General features: G+C 40.6%; 1 protein-coding gene across 5 annotated transcripts in view, besides 2 other annotated features; it reads right to left on the reverse strand.

Annotated features, from left to right (window-relative positions):
• Window positions 1-24,528, reverse strand: part of STEAP1B (STEAP family member 1B) — an 80,745-nt gene that overhangs the window by 27,621 nt on the left and 28,596 nt on the right. The gene's annotated exons all lie outside the window — the stretch shown is intronic.
• Window positions 952-1,001: an enhancer, noted in NCBI's record as "active region_25707". NCBI's record gives its function as "activates an Ori minimal core promoter by ATAC-STARR-seq in GM12878 lymphoblastoid cells {active_cell/tissue: GM12878}" and the evidence as "EXISTENCE:reporter gene assay evidence [ECO:0000049][PMID:35858748]".
• Window positions 1,012-1,081: an enhancer, noted in NCBI's record as "active region_25708". NCBI's record gives its function as "activates an Ori minimal core promoter by ATAC-STARR-seq in GM12878 lymphoblastoid cells {active_cell/tissue: GM12878}" and the evidence as "EXISTENCE:reporter gene assay evidence [ECO:0000049][PMID:35858748]".

Here is a 24,528-nt window from a genome sequence, read left to right on the forward strand (position 1 = left end):
AGAGCTCAGTGAGCACTCTTGATGTTAAAGATGACTGGTAGCCTTAGTATAGAAGCAGCTCTAATTTAGCATGGCCTGGTTCCACTTTGTAACCAGAGTCACTTTCTCTTCTGGGACATCACTGATGTCTCAGTAATGGGCAAAAACCTTATTATATTAGGCACTTTGCACAAGCATTTCACTTCCTTAATTGGTCACCATTGCTTATTAAATGCCAGGCCAACTTCCAATACAGTTTGGTGACAGAGGCCTGTCATCAACTGTTATAAAGAAATGACTTCTTGTGTGTGTACTGGTCAGCTTGTAATTCAGTTGGTTGGAAGATCAGTCAATATTGTATATTTATAAAAGAGTAGATTCAGTAACCACTTTGGCATGAAGCATGCTGCCTGTGTTTTATATTTTATATAATACATAGTAGTTCTATTGACTCTAAATAAATACTTGACAATGACTGTTTTAATAGATTCCAAAGATGGAATGTCCACAAACACATCATTTGTAGGGCAAAGCTGACACAAATCACATTTGTGGGAGTAAAGTGGGAACTCATCCCTGTGCAATGGTCAAATGCTCCACATATTTTTGTTAGGATGGAAGGGTGTTTAGTAAGGTCCTTCATGTAATCAAGACCTGTCCTGGTGTGCAGCCATAGAAGCCAATTTGTTTTACTTCTGGTACACTGACCAGCATCCCTTAGGACAGGAAGAGATGGATATACCCAAATTGCATTGCCACCTAGTACTTCGGCAAACACTTACTGAGGACCTGCCAGGTGCAAAGCACATTTACATGCATGACCTCATCTAAGGCTCACAAACAGTTATCACCATCTCCTTTTTACAGATGAGCAATTGAGATGCAAAGACATGAAGGCATTGGATAAACGTCATGCAACCCATATTGGTTTCATTTACCCTAGAAGGGATTTCTTGCTTTCAGTTGTATTTACCCTAGAAGGGATTTCTTGCTTTCAGTTGCTGGTTTGCTTATTCATTCATCTAGTCATTATTCATCTATGGTTTATCATAGCGAGGCAACATTGTTTACTCTCATATCTCCTAAAACAATTTTAGAAACCTACATATCCTCTTGAACCTTTTTCAGATGAGACTTCAAGTTTCCCTTCCCGTGTTAAAATAGTTGCAAAGATGTAATTATGGCACGTAGTCAATATTGACACTTTACAACAAAATGTTAATGAATGCATTTCTATATGGCCAAAGGAATATAGATACCAATTATATTTTTCCATTATCCAAAGGAATATAGATAGAAATGATATATTTATCATCTAAAATTTTAAAATACATGAATGATCTTTTAATAGAACTTTTTTCCTTGAACTCATATTTCCATTTCATTTCCCCAATATTACCTCATTTTTAAGGGACCTCACGCTTAAAAATATGTTATCATTCTATTATAATTCTGTGTAGTAATAATATTAGTCAAATTAATTTTTTTAATTTGCTATAATCTTAAGACTTTAGATGTTAAAATTTTTCTTCTGGATTGGCTTATCATTAAAATTATGAAGAAATTATTCAGAACAACATAAATATGACAACTTTAGACAATGCAGCATAAAATCAGGAGAGGTATACTTTTTTTTTGAACACAGAAAGCAAGATGGGAAAAAAGAATGTTTCTCATGATATCTCCCTGCAGGCATGTTCTGAGGCCAATCTTATTAGGAAAGAGTACATGTGGAAGTCTGGGATATGGAAATTAATTCTCTGAGATACACCCAATCTAGCATATCCCAGCTGGAAGGCTGCTTCCCTGGGAGCCAAAAGCACAGAAGGTCCTTGAGGGGCCATGGGACACACGAACAAGCAAGCAAGAGCAAGTTAGACATGCCAAGCATTGTATCTGGTAGGGACTAGGTAAGGTAAGAGACAAGTACCATTTGTAATTTTTTTAATTTTTTAAGTTTTTAATTTAGGGGTATATAGTAGGTGTATGTATTTATGGAGTACATGAGATGTTTTGATATAGGTATGCAACATGTGATAATCACATAATGGAGAATGGGGTACCCATCCCAAGCATTTATCCTTTGTGTTACAAACAATCCGATTACACTCTTTCAGATTTTTTAAATGTATGATTAAATTATTATTGACTATAGTCACCCTGTTGTATTATCAAATAGTAGGTCTTATTCATTCTTTCTATTTTTATTGTACCCATTAACCATCCCCACCCCCTGATCTCCATCCCAAACACTACCCTTCCCAGCCTCTGGTAACCATCCTTCTACACTCTATCTCCATGAGTTCAATTGTTTTGATTTTCAGATCCCACAAATAAGTGAGAACATGCAATGTTTATCTTTCTGTGACTGGCTTATTTCATTTAATATAATGATCTCCAGTTACATTCATGCTGTTGGAAATGACAGGATCTTATCCTTTACTATGGCTGAATAGTACTCCATTGTATGTAAGTACCACATTTTATCCATTCATCTGTTGATGGACTCATAGGTTGCTTCCAAAATCTTGGCTATTGTGAACAGTGCTTCAAAAAACATGACAGTGCAGATATCTCTCTTTGATATAGTAATTTCCTTTCTTTTGGGTATATACCCAGCAGTGGGATTGCTGGATCCTATGGTAGCTCTGTTTTTAGTTTTTTGAGGAATCTCCAAACTGTTCTTCATAGTGGTTGTACTAATTTACATTCCCACCAACAGGGTACAAGGGTTTGCTTTTCTCCGTATCTTTGCCAGCATTTGTTATTGCCTGTCTTTTGGATATAAGCCATTTTAACTGGGGTGAGATGACATCTCATTGTAGTTTCGATTTGCATTTCTCTGATGATCAGTGATGTCGAGCACCTTTTCATATGCCTGTCTGCCATTTGTGCGTCTTTTGAGAAATGTCTATTCAGATCTTTTGCCCATTTGAAAATTGGATTAGATTTTTTTCCTATAGAGTTGTTTGAGCTCCTTTTATATTCTGATATTAACCCCTTGTCAGATAGGTAACTTGCAAATATTTTCTCCCATTCTGTGGGTTGTCTTTTTGTTGTGTCCTTTGCAGTACAGAAGCTTTTTAACTTGATGTGATCCTATTTGTCCATTTTTGCTTTGGTTGCCTGTGCTTGTGGAGTATTACTCAAGTGCTTGTGGAGTATCACTCAAGTGCTTGTGGAGTATTACTCAAGAAACTTTTGCCCAGACCAATGTCCTGGAGAGTTTCTTCAATGTTTCTTTGTAGTAGTTTCATACTTGGGATCTTAGATTTAAATGTCTAATCCATTTTGATTTGAGTTTTGTATATGGTGAGAGATAGGGGTCTAGTTTCATTCTTCTGCATATGGATATCCAGTTTTCTTAGCACCATTTATTGAAGAGACTGACTTTTTCCCAGTATATGTTCTTGGCACCCTTGTTGAAAATAAGTTCACTGTAGGTGTCTGAATTTGTTTCTGGGTTCTCTATTCTGTTTCACTGGACTATGTGTCTGTTTTTATGCAAGTACCATGCTCTTTTGGTTACTTAGGTAATGTGATTCCTGTAGTTTTGTTTTTTTTTTTTTGCTTAGGATGGCTTTGGCCATGGGTCTTTTGTGGTTCCATATAAATTTTAGTTTATTTCTATTTCTGTGAAGAATGTCATTGGTATTTTGATAGAGATTAAATTAAATCTGTACACTGCTTTGGGTAGTATGGACATTTTAACAATATTGATTATTCCTATCCATGAACATTGAATATTTTTCTATTTTGGGGTGTCCTCCTCAATTTCTTTCATCAGTGTTTTACAGTTTTCATTATAAAGATCTTTCACTTCTTTGGTTAATTCCTAGATATTTAATTTTGTGACTACTGAAAATGGGGGCCCGGCACAGTGGCTCATGCTTGCAATCCCAGCACTTTGGGAGGCCAAGGTAGGCAGATCACCTGAGGTCAGGAGTTCAAGACCAGCCTGGCTAACATGGTGAAACCTTGTCTCCACTACAAATGCAAAAAAATTAGCCAGGTGTGGTGGCACATACCTGTAATCCCAGCTACTCAGGAGGCTGAGGCACAAGAATTGTTTAAACCCAGGAGGCAGAGATTGCAGTGAGCTGAGATTGCGTCACTGTACTCCAGCATGGGCGACAGAGATTCTGTCTCAAAAAAAAAAAAGAAAAGAAAATTACTTTTTCAGATTGTTCATTGTTGGCATTTTGTATGTTGATTTTGTATCCTACAGCTTTACTGAATTTATCAGTTTTAATAGTTTTTTTTTTGTGAAGTCTTTAGGTTTTTCCAAATAAAAGATCACATCATCTGCAAACAAGGATAGTTTGACTTTTGTCTTTCCAATTTGGATGCCCTTTCTTTATCCGATTGCTCTAGCTAGGACTTCCAGTATGACGTTGAATAACAGTGATGAAAGTGGGCATCCTTGTCATGTTCCAGATCTTAGAGAAAAGGTTTTGTTTTTCCCCATTTAATATAATATAGCTGTTGGTCTGTCACGTGGCTTTTTTTATGTTGAGGTATATTTTATCTCCAGTATTTTGAGGACTTTTATCGTGAAGGCATGTTGAATTTTATCAAATAATTTTTCAGCATCAATTGAAATGATATGGTTTTTATCCTTCATTCTGTTGATGTATCATATTGATTGATTTGTGTATGTTGAACAATCCTTGCATCCCAGGGATAAATCCCACTTGGTCATGACAAATGATTTTTCTAATATATTGTTGAATTTGGTTTGCTATTATTTTGTTGAGGATTTTTGCAGCAATATTCATAGGTATTGGCCTGTAGTGTTTTGTGGTTTTTTAAAAATGTATCTTTGTCTGGTTTTAGTATCAGAGTAATACTGGCCTCTTAGAACGAGTTTGGAAGTACACTCCTTCTCTATTTTTTGCATTAGTTTGAGTAGGATTGGTATTAGTGGTTCTTTAAATGTTTGGTAGAATTCAGCAGTGAAGCCATTGGGTCCCAGGCTTTTCTTCACTGGGATTCATTAGTAATTTAAACAGGGGAAATCCAGTATAAAGAACTGATAACCAGACAAAGGATGATTAACTCCTAAAAAGCATAAAGGAAAAGTTTAAGATATAATTGAGGTAGAAATTACAGAAGGCTGCTACCACCCTTGACTGAGGGAAAGGTAAGTAAGGAAAGACTCTGGAAGCGAGGGCGTGGCTACTGCAGGAAAGAAGAAACAGGCTGCCAGAGGGTGCTCGTCACAGCACCCTGAGAACTGTCACCACTGAAATGAACGCTCCTGAGACCCTCCACACTCCAATTTGCTCATATTTGTGTGAGAAACGGAAAGAAAGTGACCCCTCCCTTCCTTTCAGCTTTGCAGGCTCCCTGCAGCGCCCTCTATTGGCAGACAATCCCCCCCCTCCCCGCGCCATACACCAAACCCAAACCCGCCGGTCAAAGAAGAGCCGGTAATGCGGTAATGTGCAGATTCTAGCTTCAGGATCACAAAGCAAGACAAAAAGGACGGTTTGGAGCTGCAAGGCAATAAATTAACAACTGGAACAAACGTCAAGAGAAAAGTACAGTTAAAGGATTACAGAGAAAGGATAAATGACTTTTACTCTCTCCTCTCCCCAAATCAATAGATTGATAGGCTGGGTCCTGAGCGAACTCCTTCAGTCTCGGGGTAAAAACTGCAGAGTAAGCAGGAACTACATGGTTCCCTTGCAGTGATGCCCAGGGCTGAGAATCTTACCCCAAGCTCGAGAAATCTTCACTTTTCTATGCAAGCACAGGGAGCCCGTTTTCTCACGTGTTCAGGAAGAACAACCAGGATTTCTAAGGTGAGAATTATTTGTCTTCCTGGCAGTTGCTAATCCCAATACCAGTCCCTGGAGATTGCTTTTTTGCTGAGCTTTTTCTCCTTTGAATCCTGCCCAAGAAGAGTAGGAAGGCAGGGAACAGGGGATAAACTATTTTGATTTCTCATATTTCTGCTCTGTTTTGAAGTGAAACAATTTCATACAGCCCCCAGATTGGCACATGTTCCCCCTTCCACCAACTCCCCTGCAGTCTTTCTCACTGCAGTCAGGAAGACATTATTTTAAAAAATTCGTGTCAGTGCCAACCAACTGCGACAGGATTTTATTTCAAAAATCATTCTGTTGGCTTTCCTCGTATGAAACTCTCTGCCATAGTCTATAAAACACTCCATTACCCATCTCAACCATCTTTAGAAAGAAGCCTTCTGAAAGGTCTCATGATGTGCAGAAAGTACACTGGCTTAGGGTAGAAGGCTGAGGCATTTCCATTTCCAGCACCAACTGTGCTATGTGCATGAGAAAAATCACTCAGTTTCTTACTGCCTCCCTCAGCATTTCCCCCTGAACTCTACAGAGACCCCTTTGCAGTCATTGGCCTCAGGGAGGTTGTAAAGTACCATATTCATGTCGTTGAGATGGAAAGGACCAAGGGAATCTGTTAGGGCAGCTCTAGTCTACACAGCTCTGTACCTGAAGCTCTTTTCTGTGACTTTTAATTTATGTTACTTTCTGAAGTTTTAGTTCTAAAATTAGGACATAATATAAAATACACAAATTGATGACCTTTTTGCATAAATATATACCTATGTAACAACCTTTGATCAAAACACAACATCAAATAATCCAAAAAGATCCCTTGTGTCCCTTCTTAGTCAATATACATCCCTGTCCCTAGATGTAACCACTATTCTGACGTCCATTGACATAGAGTTGTTATATCTCTTCTCAAATTGTATCTCTTTGTATACATGAAGTCTTACAGTATATACCCTTTTGTATCTGGCTTCTTTCACCTAATACTGTCTATGAGATTTATCAACAAGTAGTTCCATCCTTTGTATTGCTGAGTAGTATTCCACTGTATGAATATACAGCAATGTATCCATTCTGCTGTTGATGGACATTTGGGTAGTTTCTAGTTTGGGGCTATTATGAATAAAGATTCTATGAACATTCTTGGACATGTCTTTTGGTGGACACATACATTTTTCTTGGGTATTGTATCAGTCCAATCAGAAGAGCAAAACTATGTAATAACTTGAATAGGAAAAGTTTAATATAACAAATGTTTATAACAGGAATAACAAGGGATTGGCTAGTAAGAAAGAGAAAGCTAAAGAATGCAGGAAGAACAGAGATAAGGAGCAATTACCAGCCCTAGGGATGAGAGAGAACTCTCAAGAAAGACCCACCTCCAACCCCTGCCTCAGGCCTAATCCATTTAAAATATTTGTTCTCCTTTTACTCCGCCAGTTCAATTACTGCAAAGATCTTATTGGAGAGTGCATAGCCATTGTTCGCCGAATAATAGAGAAGTCACTATAGTGCTGTACTGGTGGAATCTTCTGGAATAGCCCTCTGGAAGTTTCTGGAAATTCATCATCTAGGGTGCCAGAGACAGCTCTTCAGAGGGCATTGTTGTACCTGAGACACTTACTACAAAACTGACTGAAAGAGTAACCCAGAGAAGCTATAAGCCACTGGATGCTGCTGGCTGCCATGCACTGCAGGAGCTGAGAACTGGAGAAGCCCCAAGTGCTACAGGAGCTGGCTGCTGGAGAGGCTGCACATGCTGCAGTTGCTGGAGAAGCCATGTGTATTTTAGGAGCTGTGCACGGCCGAGGCTGCAGGTGCTGCAGGAGCTGGATGCTAGAGGAGCACCTTGCAGGAGCCTGGGGAGTAAGCACAGCGGAACCAGGAAGCAAAACTCTTCTCCTGCAATGTCTCATCAGCAACCTCACCTGACCAAGCTTCAGTACCAACTGGCAAAGAAAATATTATATATATATATATATATATGTATATATATATATATATTTTTTTTTTTTTTTGAGACAGAGTCTCGCTGTGTCACCCAGGCTGGAGTGCACTGGTGCAATCTCAGCTCACTGTAACCTCCGCCTCCCGGGTTCAAGTGATTCTTCTGCCTCAGCCTCTCGAGTAGCTGGGACTACAGGTGCTCGCCACCACACCCAGCTACCCTTTTTGTATTTTTAGTAGAGATGAGGTTTCACCACATTGGCCAGGATGGTCTCGATCTCTTCACTTCGTGATCCACCTGCCTCGGCCTCCCAAAGTGCTGGGATTACAGGCGTGAGCCACCGTGCCCAGCCTTAAAAATATTTTAAAGGCTCACAGAGCAGTCAGAAAGGGTCAAGTCATTGTTGAGAGACCATAAATCAGGATCTGGCACAGGTATGCACACAGAAGAGGAACTGCTGGGTCAGAGTTGTTACAAATTTAGCGTTAATGGATTTTGCCAGTTTTCCAAAGAGTTGCACCAATTTACAATCTCACAAATAATGTAGAATTCCAGTTGCTTCATATGCTTGCCAATACTTGATATTGTCAGTTTTTCTAATTTTAGACATTCTGGTGAGTATGAAGTGGCATTTCATTGTGATTTTATTTAGCATTTTCCTTAATGAGTAAAGATGTTGAGCAGCTTTTCATATACTTGTTAGATATTTGGATACCCTCTTTAGCAAACTCGTTAAAGTCCACTCCCCGTTTTTTATTAAGTTGTCTTTTTCTTATTGTAGTTTTATATATTCTGAATTTCAGTCCTTTATCAGATGCATATATTGCAAATAACTTTTCCCAACACGTGGTTTGCCTATGCTACCTTAACAAATACATTCACAGAGGCAGAAGATCAAAATACTGTGTCTTCCAATGTGCTATTTCTCACATATCAATGGTCACCAAGTCATGGTGATATGCTTATATAACTGGAATAAAATAATCTTTTGGAATTCATCTGTGCACTTGCCTAAAAAGGCAAACGAGTATTTCGAGTATTTCAAGAATCTTCCTGGCCGGGCACAGTGGCTCACGCCTGTAATCCCAGCACTTTGGGAGGCCGAGGAGGGCAGATCATGAGGTCAGGAGATCAAGACCATCCTGGCTAACACGGTGAAACCCCATCTCTACTAAAAATACCAAAAATTAGCTGGGCCTGGTGGTGAGCGCCTGTAGTCCCAGCTACTCGTGAGGCTGAGGCAGGAGAATGGCGTGAACCCAGGAGGCAGAGCTTGCAGTGAGCTGAGATTGCGCCACTGCCCTCCGGCCTGGGCAACAGAGCGAGACTCCATCTCAAAAAAAAAAAAAATCTTCCTAATCCATTTAAAATATTTCTTCTCCTTTTACTCCACCAGTTCAATTACTGCAAAGATTTCTGAAAATGAGGAAAAGATCCATGGTTTGGATTGATTATGGCAGTTTCTGTTAGAATCAGATTGTCTTCCTCAGTTTCCAAGGAAGAAATCGTGCTTAAAAACCAACAGTGTGATAATGCTGCTTCTAAGCATTCCAGTGGCAACTCTCCTTCCCTGTCATGGTGCTTTATAATTATTGGTTGTTTTCCTTTTCACCATTATGCTCCTTGAAAGCAGGAGCCAACCATTCTTATTCATCTTTATAACCCCAAGGCTAGCCCAGGAACTGGTGTGTCCTATGTACTCAGTGAATGTTCCTTGAATATCTCAATTTAGTCACAGTAATCATCTATTTCAGATGTGAGTTGAGACACAAACGGAATTTTTACTTATGCCCATTTTGAATGGATGTTGGTGTTGATGATAGATAAGGGGAAAGATGTGAATCTGAAAGAAATGTCTGACTCCTTGAGTCATGAAAAAAGGGAAATTAGAACCCCCAGCCAATCCTTTCGAGATGAAAACTGATAGAGAGGAAGAAAAGAGAGTCTGGTTTAGGCCAAGAAGGGAACAGAAGGAATCGGATGTAGTGCCACAGGGATGGCTAGCTAGGAGAGAGAGCAAAGCAGAGGGTAGCAGCCAATCTAGGAACCCCTTAGCGGAACTCGCCAAGCCCAGCTGCGTGTAAGATTCACCCTGGCTGCACCGCAGACCACCTGATTCAGAATGGGGGTGGGATAGGCAGCTATATATATATATATATATATTTTTTTTTTTTTTAAGTATCCTGGGTGGTTCTGATGCATGACAAACATCAAGAATGTCTGCTCTACAGCAATGTGAAGCTGGACAGCGTCTTCCAAACATTAACCCTGAAGTCTGTGTTAACAAAAGGCCGAGTCTCTAAATGTCCTGGGATAAATCCAGAGGATCCACCAATTAGAGATCTGGGTGCTGCAAAGTGAGCATTAGATCTCAGGGTAGATTTAGGCTTCTGGTACTGAGGACTTAATTGTCTTTCACTGTAAACAGAAAAGCTGTAAAAGGGAGTTCTGATTTTTAATTGGGGGTAGAAAAAATAAATTAGGAATTAGGAAGCAGAAAAGGTGATTACCCTGAGTAAAATGCCACAATGAGCCAACTGTATTCCTTTTTCGCTATAATTGTTACAATTAGCCAATTGTGGCCCAATTGCACCCTGAGAGTGCCACACACTGTGGTGAAGCCATTGTAGTAATTAAAAGGTTAAGGTTGAGAAATGGAGGGCCTTTAGTGCCAAGGCTAGGAGAGCAGCTGCCTACCAAGCATAACTGCACACTAGGAAATTTGTTCCTGAGGTAAGTGGCTTCACTAGTGGGTCAGCCTCACCTTTAAAATTCTACAGTTCTATGATATGCACTGTAAGATGTGAAGTCATGGTTATTTTTGAATCTGAGTTTTCTTGCTAATGCCAGCGTGCCTTCCTAAGTCACACTTTCCATGTGACTGCACCTGGCAGTTGCTGGAAGGGCTTGGGCCAAGCACAGAGAACTAGAAAACCTATGGGAAAGTTTTAAACTTTGTAAACCTGAAGTTCAGATAGAAAGTGCAAAGTCAACTGCAAGGTCCTCACCTGCCCACATGATGACATGGTATTAGAAAATGAAAACCAAGGAGGTTAAAATGCATTGTAATTATTGGCGTTACTCTGCAATGAAATCTGCACTGGGGATCCTTTGTCCCCAAAAAACCCCAACAGGATAAACCAGCTCTCCCACCATTTCCCATCCCAGCCAAACTCACCCAGCCAAACATACAACAGCTTAATTTATTGTAAGTCCAGATGAGCCATTCCAATAAGTTGTTAGGGTTAGGCTTACTTCTAAGAACACCAGACAATATAATGTAGCTGAAGAAGAAAAAATTACATCATTTTGACCATGAGGAGCTCTGCTTCTTCATTCAATAAACATATCAGGTGACAACTATGTGCCAGGCACAGTGCTGGGTGCCAAAATCACAGAGGAAAAAATGTGATGCCATGGAGGTGAATACGAGGAAGAACCAGAGAGAGAAACAAACATATTTAGTTAGTGTACTAAAGTGCAATGGCAGAGAAATGCACAGGGGGCCATGGGAGCACCCAGTAGAGGCTCGGAGCCAGAGAAGATTGTAACCAGGGAGGAGGAGGAGTTGATGCCTCAGTGGAATCTTAAAGGAGAGGTGGAGTCGAAGGTGGCCTGAAGCCACTTATACTGGCTTGCGAGATCCAACACATTTTTTCCCATTTCTGCATTCAGTGACCAGATTTGTAGCTTGAAGTCAGCAGTGGTATGAATATTTATACCTCAGAGGCAAACTCTACACATCAACCTTTTTTCTCCGCTAGAGTCAGTTGTTAAACACTAAACAGCGCACCACTGGGTAGGCCATAGACAGATGGAGGGAAAGCATTTTGCACAAGGGTACACCCTAAACCAGGCCATGGAAGCCCCAAGAAGCTTGGAGGGGAACTATAGGACTTTAGCTTTTCTAGGCTGTAAAGTGCACAGCTGCAATGGCAGGAGATAAAACAGAAAGACAGCCAAGGACTAGATTGTGGAGGGCATTGCATGTTGTTAAGGAGTTTCTACTGTTATCCTGGAGGGGATGGGTGGACAAAGAAGTTTTAAGCTAGGGTGTGGTACGCTAACTTTTTTTTTTTTTTGAGACATCCTAGTTTACAACCACCAATGCCTCTCCTTGATAACAAATAAGTATCTTATACAAACTAAATTGAGATTAAAGAGAATCTGTTCCTAAAGTCACCTATAAAGCCAAAAATAGAACAAAAATAATAAAGAAGAGAAAACCTCCAGCAATTGACTTTGGCTCACCTTGTCCAACAGCAGTGCCTCTCAGCATGTCAGACCCATGGAGGGTGGGGACTCCTGTTTGACACACTCCATGCTGTTTCCTCCGAGCTATTTGCACTTTAGTTAGTGCAGAAAATGTCACTCCTCTAGAGCATAGGCACAGGCTTTGATTCAATTTCATGATTCTATCAAAGGATAGGCCTCAGCTTTTAAGCTTGGGGCTGTTGCCCATTTACCTTATAAACTTCTTATTTGATTTTGCATCTGGCCAAAACAGATAAAGACAGGGTCATCTGAAAGACGAGAAAGCTGTCATTGGCTTTCCTTGCAGTGTTTTGAATGTAGCTTCACGTTTTCAGTGTCAACTTTAAAGGAACTGCTTTGTACCTTGATTCTAAACCTTATGTTGGCAAAAGGCCCCAGATTATGATTGGGTACCACGGCCATAAGACCTGAGTAATGATGTCTAAATTTTCCACTTATTATGAAAATGTCCATTTTAACAAAAACAACAAAATACGGCAAAAGTTACACATATAGTAAATGATTTCTGTATTTTCCCTGTTTATGACAGTTTCCATATCCTCTCCTCCTGGCACAAAGAAAGTGAGCCAGTCTGTATCTCACTTGCCAGTATTATGTTGGGCCATTATCCTGCTAGGATTCTTCCACCAACATCCTTTTTTAAAACTCGTATCATAAACTTATGCCAGACTCCATCCTTACCCCCGTTATGGGTCCCGTCCTCAGGACTCTCCATTAATACCGCACCCCACACCCTCAGTGAGCGCAGCATGAATTTTCCTATTCAGCATTGCAGGCAATTCTCTTTCCATTTTGGTTCATATCTAGTGACATTTAGTTTCATTATCCAATTTCCCACCACAATAGCGTAATTTGGTTCAGGTTGGTGGCCTGTGGAACGTGTAGCCGTTTAGGTCCAATCATTAAATGGAGGAATTTATGAGACTGTAAGATATGAGGAAAGGCTGGCTGTGGTGTCGCACACCTATAATCCTAGCGCTCTGGGAGGTCAAGGTGGGAGGACTGCTTGAGCCCAGGAATTTGAAACCAGCCCAGGAAACATAGTGAAACCCCGTCTCTACAAAAAAACGTTTTAAAAAGATTAGCTGGGCATGGTGGCGCGTGCCCATAGTCCTAGCTATGGGGTAGGGTTGGGGGAGGGCTGAGATGGGAGGATCACTTGAGCCTGGGAGGTCAAGGCTGCAGTGAGCTATGATTGTACCACTGCACTTGAGCCTGGGCAACAGGGTGAGACCCTGTTTCAAAACAAACAAAAAAAAAAAAAAAGGAGAGAAGGAAGTCTTTATATGGTTCCTTGGGACTGAGGGAGAGCATTCAAGGAAGGACAAATTTGAAAGAGTTCCCCTAGTTTAGGTGAGGTTCAGCCTAGTAGACAGCAGAGATGGTTGACATGGAGCTCATCTGGAGTTGCTGGGTAAATCAGGGCACTCTCCAGTGTGCAAGCTGGGGAGCGGGCCATCAGGCCTGGTGGCCTGGACATGCTGTGGGAGTCCAGGGCCAGCAGGGGCAGGAGCTCTTAAGAGCGCACAGGCAGTGAGGGCTCTGGTTTTCATTTGAGACCACTGCAGAAAGGTCATTGCTACACCAAGGCTGCAAGCTTGCAGAGGGATGACACTCAGGGCCTGAGGCTGGGGCAGGTTCCACCAAAAGCCATCACACTCACACCAACTCCTGAACCACCCCGGAGGCAGCAGCAGACTTCCTCCTGCAGTGACCCTCCTGTGCCCTCTACCGAAAAAGCTTCACATTTTCAGCTCATTATATACATATATGCATGTGTATACATGTATATAGTAAGTAAGATATACCTTTTCATTGTATTACTGACTTTAAAGGAGAAATACTTAAAGGAATCTTGTTGCTTATCACAGAGCGTATGTTAAAGGGTACATCTTGAGCTGAGAGGCAATACATTGATAAATGACACAGGAGGCCCAACATTTGAAAAACTGCCGCTTTCCTGGGTGTGTCAGCTCCACAATACGGAACAGCTAGCTGTGTTGGATTGCTCATACCATCCATGGACTTCAAGGAACTGCTTACCACTCATTCTGGCTGTCAAATAGGAACACTAGACTATGATTGCAGCTCTGAAGAGGGTCGTTTCAGTTTCCGATGAGGTTTCAAGGTGGCAGTGCTCTGTACTCTCATTCACTCCTTCCAGTCACTGAGGGAACTTTTTCTTTTTTTCTTTTGCAAAGGAGTCTCACTCTGCTGCCCAGGCTAGAGTGCAATGGCATGATCTCGGCTCACTGCAACCTCTGCCTCCCGGGTTCAAGCGATTCTCCCTGCCTCAGCCTCCTGATAGCTGCCATTACAGGTGCCCACCACCACGCCCAGCTAATTTTCGTATTTTTAGTAGAGAGGGGGTTTCACCATGTTGGCCAGGCTGGTCTTGAACTCCTGACCTCAGGTGATCTGCCTGCCTCAGCCTCCCAAAGTGCTGGGATTATAGGCGTGAGCCACTGTGGCTGGCCCACGGAAGGAACTCTCTGGGCAATTCTGCTCCAGCGTTTGACTGACCTTCCCCAAAGCAGTTACAGGTCATTTTTCCGAGATGCTCAGAATTCTGAGTTTCAGAATATTGGATTACACCATGTGCTCTCTTTTCCACTGTCTCTCTGGGAACACAAGCAGGCTCTGCTGCGGTAGTTTGATTCTCTTCATGGTGCAAACAAGCTCCTATCACCAGAGGCTGGGGTTCAGAACCCAGGTGTTAAACCAGATGTAACCTATTCCAACATTTACTTAAATTGTGTGTTAAGTCGTTGGAACCTCAGTTTTCTCACGTATAAAATGGGGATTAAAAAGCACCTGCCCACGTGACTGTTAGGATTAAGTGAGATCATCTGTGCAAAGTACTTGAAACGTACCAGCCACGTAGTAAACGCTTGGTAATAGTTACCATTACTGTGCTCTACTAATGGCCAAAACTCAGACTCCCAAAGAAATGGAAAGCTAAGCTGTTGCCTTTCTCACAATACTAAAATTTTAGCCATCATTTATACTTATTATGATTTTGAGTATCACTACCAACTAAAAAAGAAATGAGTTTTGATGGGTTTTTACTCTCCCCTAGCTTCACTCCTGGATTAGAGAATTTGCAAGGATTTGCCTATGATTTTTCTTTTCTCTTTTTTTAAAATTAATTAATTATTATTATACTTTAAGTTTTAGGGTACATGTGCACAATGTGCAGGTTAGTTACATATGTATACATGTGCCATGCTGGTGTGCTGCACCCACTAACTCGTCATCTAGCATTAGGTATATCTACCAATGCTATCCCTCCCCCCTCCCCCCACCCCACAACAGTCCCCAGAGTGTGATGTTCCCCTTCCTGTGTCCATGTGTTCTCATTGTTCAATTCCCACCTATGAGTGAGAATACGCGGTGTTTGGTTTTTTGTTCTTGCGATAGTTTACTGAGAATGATGATTTCCAATTTCCTCCATGTCCCTACAAAGGACACGAACTCATCATTTTTTATGGTGGCATAGTATTCCATGGTGTATATGTGCCACATTTTGTTAATTCAGTCTATCATTGTTGGACATTTTGGTTGGTTCCAAGTCTTTGCTATTGTGAATAATGCCGCAATAAACATACGTGTGCATGTGTCTTTATAGCAGCATGATTTATAGTCCTTTGGGTATATAACCAGTAATGGGATGGCTGGGTCAAATGGTATTTCTAGTTCTAGATCCCTGAGGAATCGCCACACTGACTTCCACAATGGTTGAACTAGTTTACAGTCCCACCAACAGTGTAAAAGTGTTCCTATTTCTCCACATCCTCTCCAGCACCTGTTGTTTCCTGACTTTTTAATGATTGCCCTTCTAACTGGTGTGAGATAGTATCTCATTGCGGTTTTGATTTGCATTTCTCTGATGGCCAGTGATGGTGAGCATTTTTTCATGTGTTTTTTGGCTGCATAAATGTCTTCTTTTGAGAAGTGTCTGTTCATGTCCTTTGCCCACTTTTTGATGGGGTTGTTTGTTTGATAAGCAACTTCAGCAAAGTCTCAGGATACAAAATCAATGTACAAAAATCACAAGCATTCTTATACACCAACAACAGACAAACAGAGAGCCAAATCATGAGTGAACTCCCATTCACAATTGCTTCAAAGAGAATAAAATACCTAGGAATCCAACTTACAAGGGATGTGAAGGACCTCTTCAAGGAGAACTACAAACCACTGCTCAAGGAAATAAAAGAGGATACAAACAAATGCAAGAACATTCCATGCTCATGGGTAGGAAGAATCAATATCATGAAAATGGCCATACTGCCCAAGGTAATTTACAGATTCAATGCCATCCCCATCAAGCTACCAATGACTTGCTTCACAGAATTGGAAAAAACTACTTTAAAGTTCATCTGGAACTGAAAAAGAGCCTGCATCGCCAAGTCAATCCTGAGCCAAAAGAACAAAGCGGGAGGCATCACACTACCTGACTTCAAACTATACTACAAGGCTACGGTACCCAAAACAGCATGGTACTGGTACCAAAACAGAGATATAGATCAATGGAACAAAACAGAACCCTCAGAAATAACGCCGCGTATCTACAACTATCTGATCTTTGACAAACCTGAGAAAAACAAGCAATGGGGAAAGGATTCCCTACTTAATAAATGGTGCTGGGAAAACTGGCTAGCCATATGTAGAAAGCTGAAACTGGATCCCTTCCTTACACCTTATACAAAAATCAATTCAAGATGGATTAAAGACTTAAACGTTAGACCTAAAACCATAAAAACCCTAGAAGAAAACCTAGGCATTACCATTCAGGACATAGGCATGGGCAAGGACTTCATGTCTAAAACACCAAAAGCAATGGCAACAAAAGCCAAAATTGACAAATGGGATCTAATTAAACTAAAGAGCATCTGCACAGCAAAAGAAACTACCATCAGAGTGAACAGGCAACCTACAAAATGGGAGAAAATTTTCGCAACCTACTCATCTGACAAAGGGCTAATATCCAGAATCTACAATGATTGAACTCTTTTCTCTTTTTAATTCAGCTGACAGTGTTGTTCATTATTCACTTGAGGTGGTATTAGAATAAATTAATATTAAAATATTTAAATTTAGAACAATGTGTTCGCAATGCCATTAGGAAGATTTATCACCTGCAATGAGAAATCAGTGCTCCATTAGCTACAAACCCTCTCCAGTGAATTTGGAGACCTCAGGCTCAGATCATTACCCATCACCTCTCCCCCACTCTGTCCCCTGACTGCTGTCTGGACAGCTGTTCGGGTTTACTGAGGGTGTGTTCTACTAACTCACTTTTTAACTTAGTCCTACATCTGGCTGGGGACTCTTTAATACCATCAGTCTAGACACTGAGCTAGGGCCAATAAACAATACAAGGTGTTAAGGGCTGACTTGTGCCTGCCCCCGTCATTCTTACCTTGAAGCCCAAACTCCAGTACCTCGGAAAGTGACCATATTTGGAGACAGTGCCTTTAAGAGGTGATTAAGTTAAATTGAGGTCATTAGGGTGAGCCCTAATCCAATCTGATTGGTGTCCTTATAAGAGGAGGAAATTTGGACACAAAGAGACACATCAGAGATGCACGCACACAGAAAAAACCCATGGAAGAACACAGGGAAGGGAGCTATTTGCAAGCCTAGGAGAGAGGCCTCGGGAGAAATGAAACTTGCTGACACCTTGGTCTTGAAACTCCAGCCTCCAGAACTGGGAGGAAATAAATTTCTGTTAAGACACCAGTCTGGTATTTTGCTATGGCAACCCTAGCAAACTAATATAGTAGCCCTTCCTTATCCTCACAGAACATGCTCCAAGACCCCCAGTGGATACCCGAAACCACAGACAGTACCAAACCCCATATATATATATATATGTAGGCACAATAAGAGATTAACAATAATAACTAGTAATTCAATAGAACAATTACAACAATATGCCAGCATCACTACTCTTGCACCTTGGGGCCATTATTCAGTTTATAAAAGGGTTACCTGAACACAAGCACTGTGACAGTTCATTTGATCACCCAGACGGCTACGAGGCCACTAATGGGTGGGTAGCATTGACAATATGGAAACATTGGACAAAGGGATGAATTCATGTCCAGAGCCGGATGGTGTGAGATTTCATCCTGCTACTCAGGATGGCCCCCAATGTAAAACTTATGAATTGTTTATTTCTGAAATTTTCCATGTAATATTTTCAGACCATGGTCGACCTTGGATAAGCGAAACCACAGAAAGCAAAACCTCAGATAAGGGTGGACTAATGTACGGATTTTTTTGCTTTTTTAAAAACTTGTAAATTTATGCAGCCACTTTTGGAGTACACAGATTACCTGCAATGTGCTTTTTCCAATCAACACTCTTATCTTTTAGATTTGTTCATACTGATATGTATCTAGGTCTAGGTAATTCTTCTGTTGTGTAGATTTCCATCCTACTAATACTACAACTTATTTTCAATTTCTTTTGTTATTGTTATGTACGATGTGAACATGACCTTCCTTGCACATGCAGTAGGGGTTCTCTGGGTGTTGCGCCCAACCCCTATTAACCTCAATAGGGAAGGCACCAGGTTCGACAGGCCAAAGAGGAGATCCAGAGCCAGCAAAAGAGACATGGGGCTTTATTAGGGGCTTGCATATGGGGGAGACAGTCCAGTGGCAGCAGGCTGGACAGGAGAACCGCCTTATGCATAGAAATAGTCCAGTGCTGACAGGCTGGATGAGATAACCGCATGGCCTGTCTAGTGGTGGTGGGCTGGGCAGGAAAACCACAACACTCACCTCCTAATGGCCTCCACCTGGCAGTCTTCATTTACCAAAACTCAGAGCCTCGATCTCCCGCATGGCTCATGTTCCACGGGACAGGCCTGGGGCTCAGACACTTATCATTGATAAGGAATGAATCTTCAGGTTCATTCCCTAGTGCAGAACACACATTCAGGTGTGTGTGCCATACAGGCTCATTCTCAGGGTATGCTGAAGTTACTGCTCTCAGCTCCATTTACCCTTCACTAGGTCACACCTATAATTGAACATTTTGGCTCACAGTGCTAAAATATCCTTTTTTCTAGTTTTAAATTGACAAAAGTTGTATATATTTCTTGTGTACAACAGTTTTTTTTCTACCTTTCCAACTTTTAGGTTCAGGGGATAGATGTTCAGATTTGTTACATGGATAAATTGTGTGGCGTGGGGGTTTGGTGTACAGATTATTTCATCACCCAGGTAATGAGCATAGTACTTGATAGGTAGTTTTTTTATTCTCACCCTCCCCCCACCCTCCACCCTCAAGTAGGCCACAGTATCTACTGTTTTCTTTGTGTCCATGACAACATGTTGTTTTGAAATATGTACATGTATGACCATGTGATGAGGCAGCAAGAGAGGGGCTGTGTACAAGCCTGGAACAGATTCTTCTATTATGGACCCCAAAGGAAACCAACCCTGCCAGCACCTTGATCTTGAACTTCCAGCCTCCAGAACTATGAGAAAGTAAATTTCTGTTAAGCCACCCAGTCTGGCATTTTGCTTTGGAAACCCTAGTAAACAATTGCACAAGGACAGGCAAAACTCACTTGTCCAAACAATTGTTAAAAGTAACACAAGATGTATTCCAGGGAAGCAAAACATGATTGAGAGCTACATTTCCATCTTAAAGTAAGAAGCAGTTGACAGGGCATCCCACCAGATCTGTAAGGCTGTGCAGTGTGGTTGTTAAAAGCAGACTCCAGAGCCAAACTGCCTGGGTTCAGGTCCAAGCCCTGCACTTGCTGGCCATGAGATCTTGACCAAGTTACTTTGCCTCTCTTTGATTTTCTCATCTGGAAAATGGGGACAATAGCAACACCTGCCTCCCAGGGCTGCTGTAAGTACTATAGAAGTTAACAAATGGAACACCTGGCACATGGAAAAATGCTAAGGACAAATTTGCTGTTTTTATCTGGTCTTTGAAAAAGATTTCAGAGGAAATATAATTGAAGGTTGTTCCAATTGATTTCCACCTGCCAGCATGCCAGAAGACCCCTTATTTATAAGATCCCTTTCTTGGTTTAGACTTGTCTCCCTTTGCCAATTTTATTTAAAAGGATAATGACCCACTTTTAGTAGAAAGCCCCAAGGATGCTATTTTGAGAGGAAACTCTCAGGAAATTCCCAAGTAATCTGCAGGGGGAAAAGATATCAGTTTCTTAAATCTGCTTAAAAGCCTGCCAGCTCCCAATTAGTCTGCTGTCTTACAAGTCAGAACAGTGGGTTAGTAAGGGCTGGATCTCTGGGGGTGCTGACTGTGAACACTGATCCAGCTGTGCTCTTGTGAGCTGTGCACGTGTGTGTATGCATGTTCAACTTCAATATAAACTTTAGTTAAATACTGATATGGTTTGGCTATGTCCCCACCCAAATCTCATCTCAAATTGTAGCTCCCATAATTCCCTCGTGTTGTAGGAGGGACCCAGTGGGAGATAATTGAATTTTGGGGGCGATTCCCCCCATACTGTTCTTGTGGTAGTGAGTTAAGTCTCTCAAGATCTGATCATTTTATAAGGGGAAACCCCTTTTGCTTGGATCTCACTCTTCTCTTGTCTGCTGCCATGTGAGACGTGCCTTTTACCTTCCGCCATGATTGTGAGGCCTCCCCAGCCACGTGGAACTGTGAGTCTATTAAACCTCTTTCTTTGTAAATTGCCCAGTCTCGGGTGTGTCTTTATCAGCATTGTGAAAATGGACTAATACAAATACCCTACCAAGAGATATAGTTCAAACTCACCCAAGAACCTTTGAATTCCTCCTACATCTTCTTCATGGATATTTGGAAATTCCTTTGGCAAAGAGTTCCAATCCTCTTGAGACTAAGCTGAGGTGGAGGGAGCCCCAGAATGGGACCCCTAAAATATCAGATAAATAAAATATTTCGTATGAAGATATCCCATGTAATACTCAGGACATATTTCTGCTAAAGAATATTTTTTTCTTATTTGAAATTCAAATTTAACTTGGGCATTCTGTATTTTTATTTGCTAAATTCAAATTTCAGATAAATCTTTTAGAATATAGTATAAGTATGTTCAAAATATTATATATTTGGGATTATTTATACTAAAAAAATTTATCTGAAATTCAAATTTAACTGGGTGTCCTGTATTTTATCTGACAAACCTATTCTGAGTGCTTTACACATATTGATTCATTTAACCCTCATATAAACGAATAAGGGAGGTACTATTATTACCTCCATTTTATAGATTAGGAAACTGAGGAAAGGAGGCTGAGTAGTTTTCCCAAAAAATCTGTCAGTACCAAGTACTGACAAAAATGCAGAGCCACCGGAATTCTCATATACTGCTGGTGGAAATGCAAAATGGTACAGCCACTTTGGAAAATCATTTGGCAGCTTTTTAAAAAGTTGAATATACACCTAACATAAGACACTGCCTACCATTTATCACCTATCAAAACACTTTTGGAAGTGTTTTGATTTGATACGATGAGGCTAAAGACAAAGACCTGCACACAAACACTATATTCTAGCTGATAAATATGTATCCTCACAGGGGCTTAGGTTAAAAATTTGGAAATTATTTGTATACCTGAGAGGAATAAATACAGTCACGCATTGCATAATGATGTTCAGACAACAATGGACTGCATATATGATGGCAGTACCATGAGATTATAATGGAGCTGAAAAATTCTCATCATCTTGTGACGTCATAGCCATTGCAATGTCAGAGTGCAACACATTATTCACGTGTTTGTTGTGATGCTGGTATAAACAAACCTATTGCACTGCCAGTCATACAAAAGCACTGCACATGCAATTATGTACAGTACATAATACTTGCTAATAACCATGTTACTTATTTATTATCCTATACTTTTTATAATTATTTTACAGTTTTTTTTAAAGGTTAATTGTAAAACAGCCTCAGGTAGGTACTTCAGGAGGTATTCCAGAAGAAGGAATTTTTATCATGGGACATCACAGCTCTGTGTGTGTTATGATTCCTGAAGACCTTTCAGTGGGACAAGATATAGAGGTGGAAAGCAGTGATATTGATGATCTGGACCCTGTGTAGGCCTAGGCCTATGTGTATGTTTGTATCTTCATTTTTAACAAAAATTTTAAGAAGTAAAAAAGAATAAATAATTTAATATATAAAAAAGCTTGTAAAATAGGGATATAATGATGTTATACAGCTGTACAGCATGTTTTAAGCTAAGTGTTACTACAAAAGAGTCAAAAAAGTTTATATGGTAAGTTACAGGAAGCTAAGGCTAATTATTGAAGAATGTTTTTTATAAGTTTAGTGTAACCTAAGTCTTCAGTGTTTTATGCAGTCTATATTAGTGTACAGAATGTCCTAACCTTTCACTTTCACTCACCACTTGCTCACTAACTCACCCAGAGCAGCTTCCAGTCCTGCCAGCTCTATTTATGGAAAGTTTATACAGGTGTACCATTTTTATTCTTTTACTGTATTTTTACTGTTTCATTTCTGTTTAGAAAGACAAACACTTACCACCGTGATACAGCTGCCTACAGTATTCAATAGAGTAGCATGCTCAACAGATTTGTAGCTAGGAGCACTAGGCTTGCAGATAGCCTACATGTATAATAGGCTCTACCATCTAGGTTAGCGTAAGTACACTCTACAATGTTTACACAATGAAAAACATCTAACGACACATTTCTCAGAATATATTCCTATCATTTAAGTGATGCATGAGTGCATACTGCAGAGCCAGTTTCTCACTATTGGATAAAGAAGTTACAAATATGGAAAGGAGAAAAGCTAGAATAAACTCCAGTGCTGGACTGTAGTTAGTTATCATGCTGACTCATGTTTAAAAAAAAGATATGCACACTCACATTCAGATAAATACAGAAATAAAAGAGGTGTGCATAGACATAAATTATTACATGTACCTATATTACCTAACTCTCCACTGAGACAGCCTAGACACAATTGCACTCCAGGAGCAATGAGTACATCCATTGCCCATATCTTGGTTTCTAAATACCATTCTCCAATTAAAGTCTCCTTGGAGAACCAGTTAATTCTAGGGCTGGGGCAGAGAAAATACAAAATGAGCCTGGAGTATCTTGTGGTGCAGGAAGTAAAGAAGTGCCATAAAACAAATATATAAAGGATGTAGCCGTATCGAAAGAGCACAGGAGCCACCTGAAAGCATCCCCAAAGGCCAAAGTTGACTTGAGGGGGCAAAAATAAGTGATTAGATTGTAACAAAAAGTAAGATGAATATCTATGAGTCCATATTGATATAAATTTACATTGATACACTTTTATTCAAATGAGGGAGAATTGACAAGTCTCCCCTTCAGAAGAATTCCAATTGACAAATGTAGAAGGAATGAGGGAAATAAACCACTATTAGAACACCACAGTAATCGGCAGTAATCCCAGCACTTTGGGAGGCTGAGGTGGCCGTATCACTTGAGGTCAGGAGTTCCAGACCAGCCAACATGGTAAAACCCCATCTCTACTAAAAATACAAAAACTAGCCAGGTATGGTGGTGCATGCCTGTAGTCCCAGCTACTTGGGAGACTGAGGCAGGATTGAATCCTGGAATAGAAAAACTGGTGAAAAACATAGGGTCTGCAGTTTAATTAGTACTATTGTAGTGAGGTTAATTTCTTAGTTTTCATGAACATTCTGTGGGTATTGAAGATGTTAACATAAGCAGGAACTGGGTGAAGCATAAATGAGAACTCTGTACTATTTCTGCAACTGAGACTAAAATTATCTAAAAATAAAACATCACCCAAAAAATATAAAACCCTCATTTCACCCTCATAATCCCTTACTCTAGCAAAAGAAAAAAATGTATTCAAGAGCCAATTTGGGCCTCTAAGAATAGGGTCAGGCTTCCACAATTTGTACCAATAAACGATTTCCCTGGCCTGCTTTCATCTTTAAATTGAGTAAGGAAACCTAAAGAGCCTATTTTTTCCCCCTTTCCTTCTTCAAACTTCTAAGTCAGCATTTCCTACGGAGTGCAGCCGATGCTTTTCCTCTCCCACACAGCTCAGGGCCCAGTGGGTGGGCTGCGCGCCTCAGCACTGTACTGACTCTTTCTAAGTGTGGTCAAGGGAAAACGAGCTCCCTAGAGGTGCCACGTGCTGTTAAAATATCTAAAACACTTCTAGAATTCTGAGGAAAGTGACGCAGAGGAAGCTCACTCACTCAAGAGTTGCAAGGCCTGGTGTTAGGGTCCCCCGTTTCCTCATTTTTTTAGGAAAATGACTCCGATCCCTGAAAGTGTAAACTGCTGGTGAGTAAACAAGTAAAAACCATCTGCTGCCATCCAAAGATGCTGCCAGCTTATGACATTTCATAGCGCTGCCTACCTCTTCAATCTTCCCACAAGGCAGAATTGTTTTTCACCTACCAGATATTTGACATCACTGAGGTATTAGATACTGTACGAGAAATAGACTGCTCCTGATTTTTCAATTAACTCACAAGGTAAAGG

Source organism: Homo sapiens, chromosome 7 (assembly GCF_000001405.40).
Source record: "Homo sapiens chromosome 7, GRCh38.p14 Primary Assembly".
Taxonomy (NCBI): domain Eukaryota; kingdom Metazoa; phylum Chordata; class Mammalia; order Primates; family Hominidae; genus Homo; species Homo sapiens.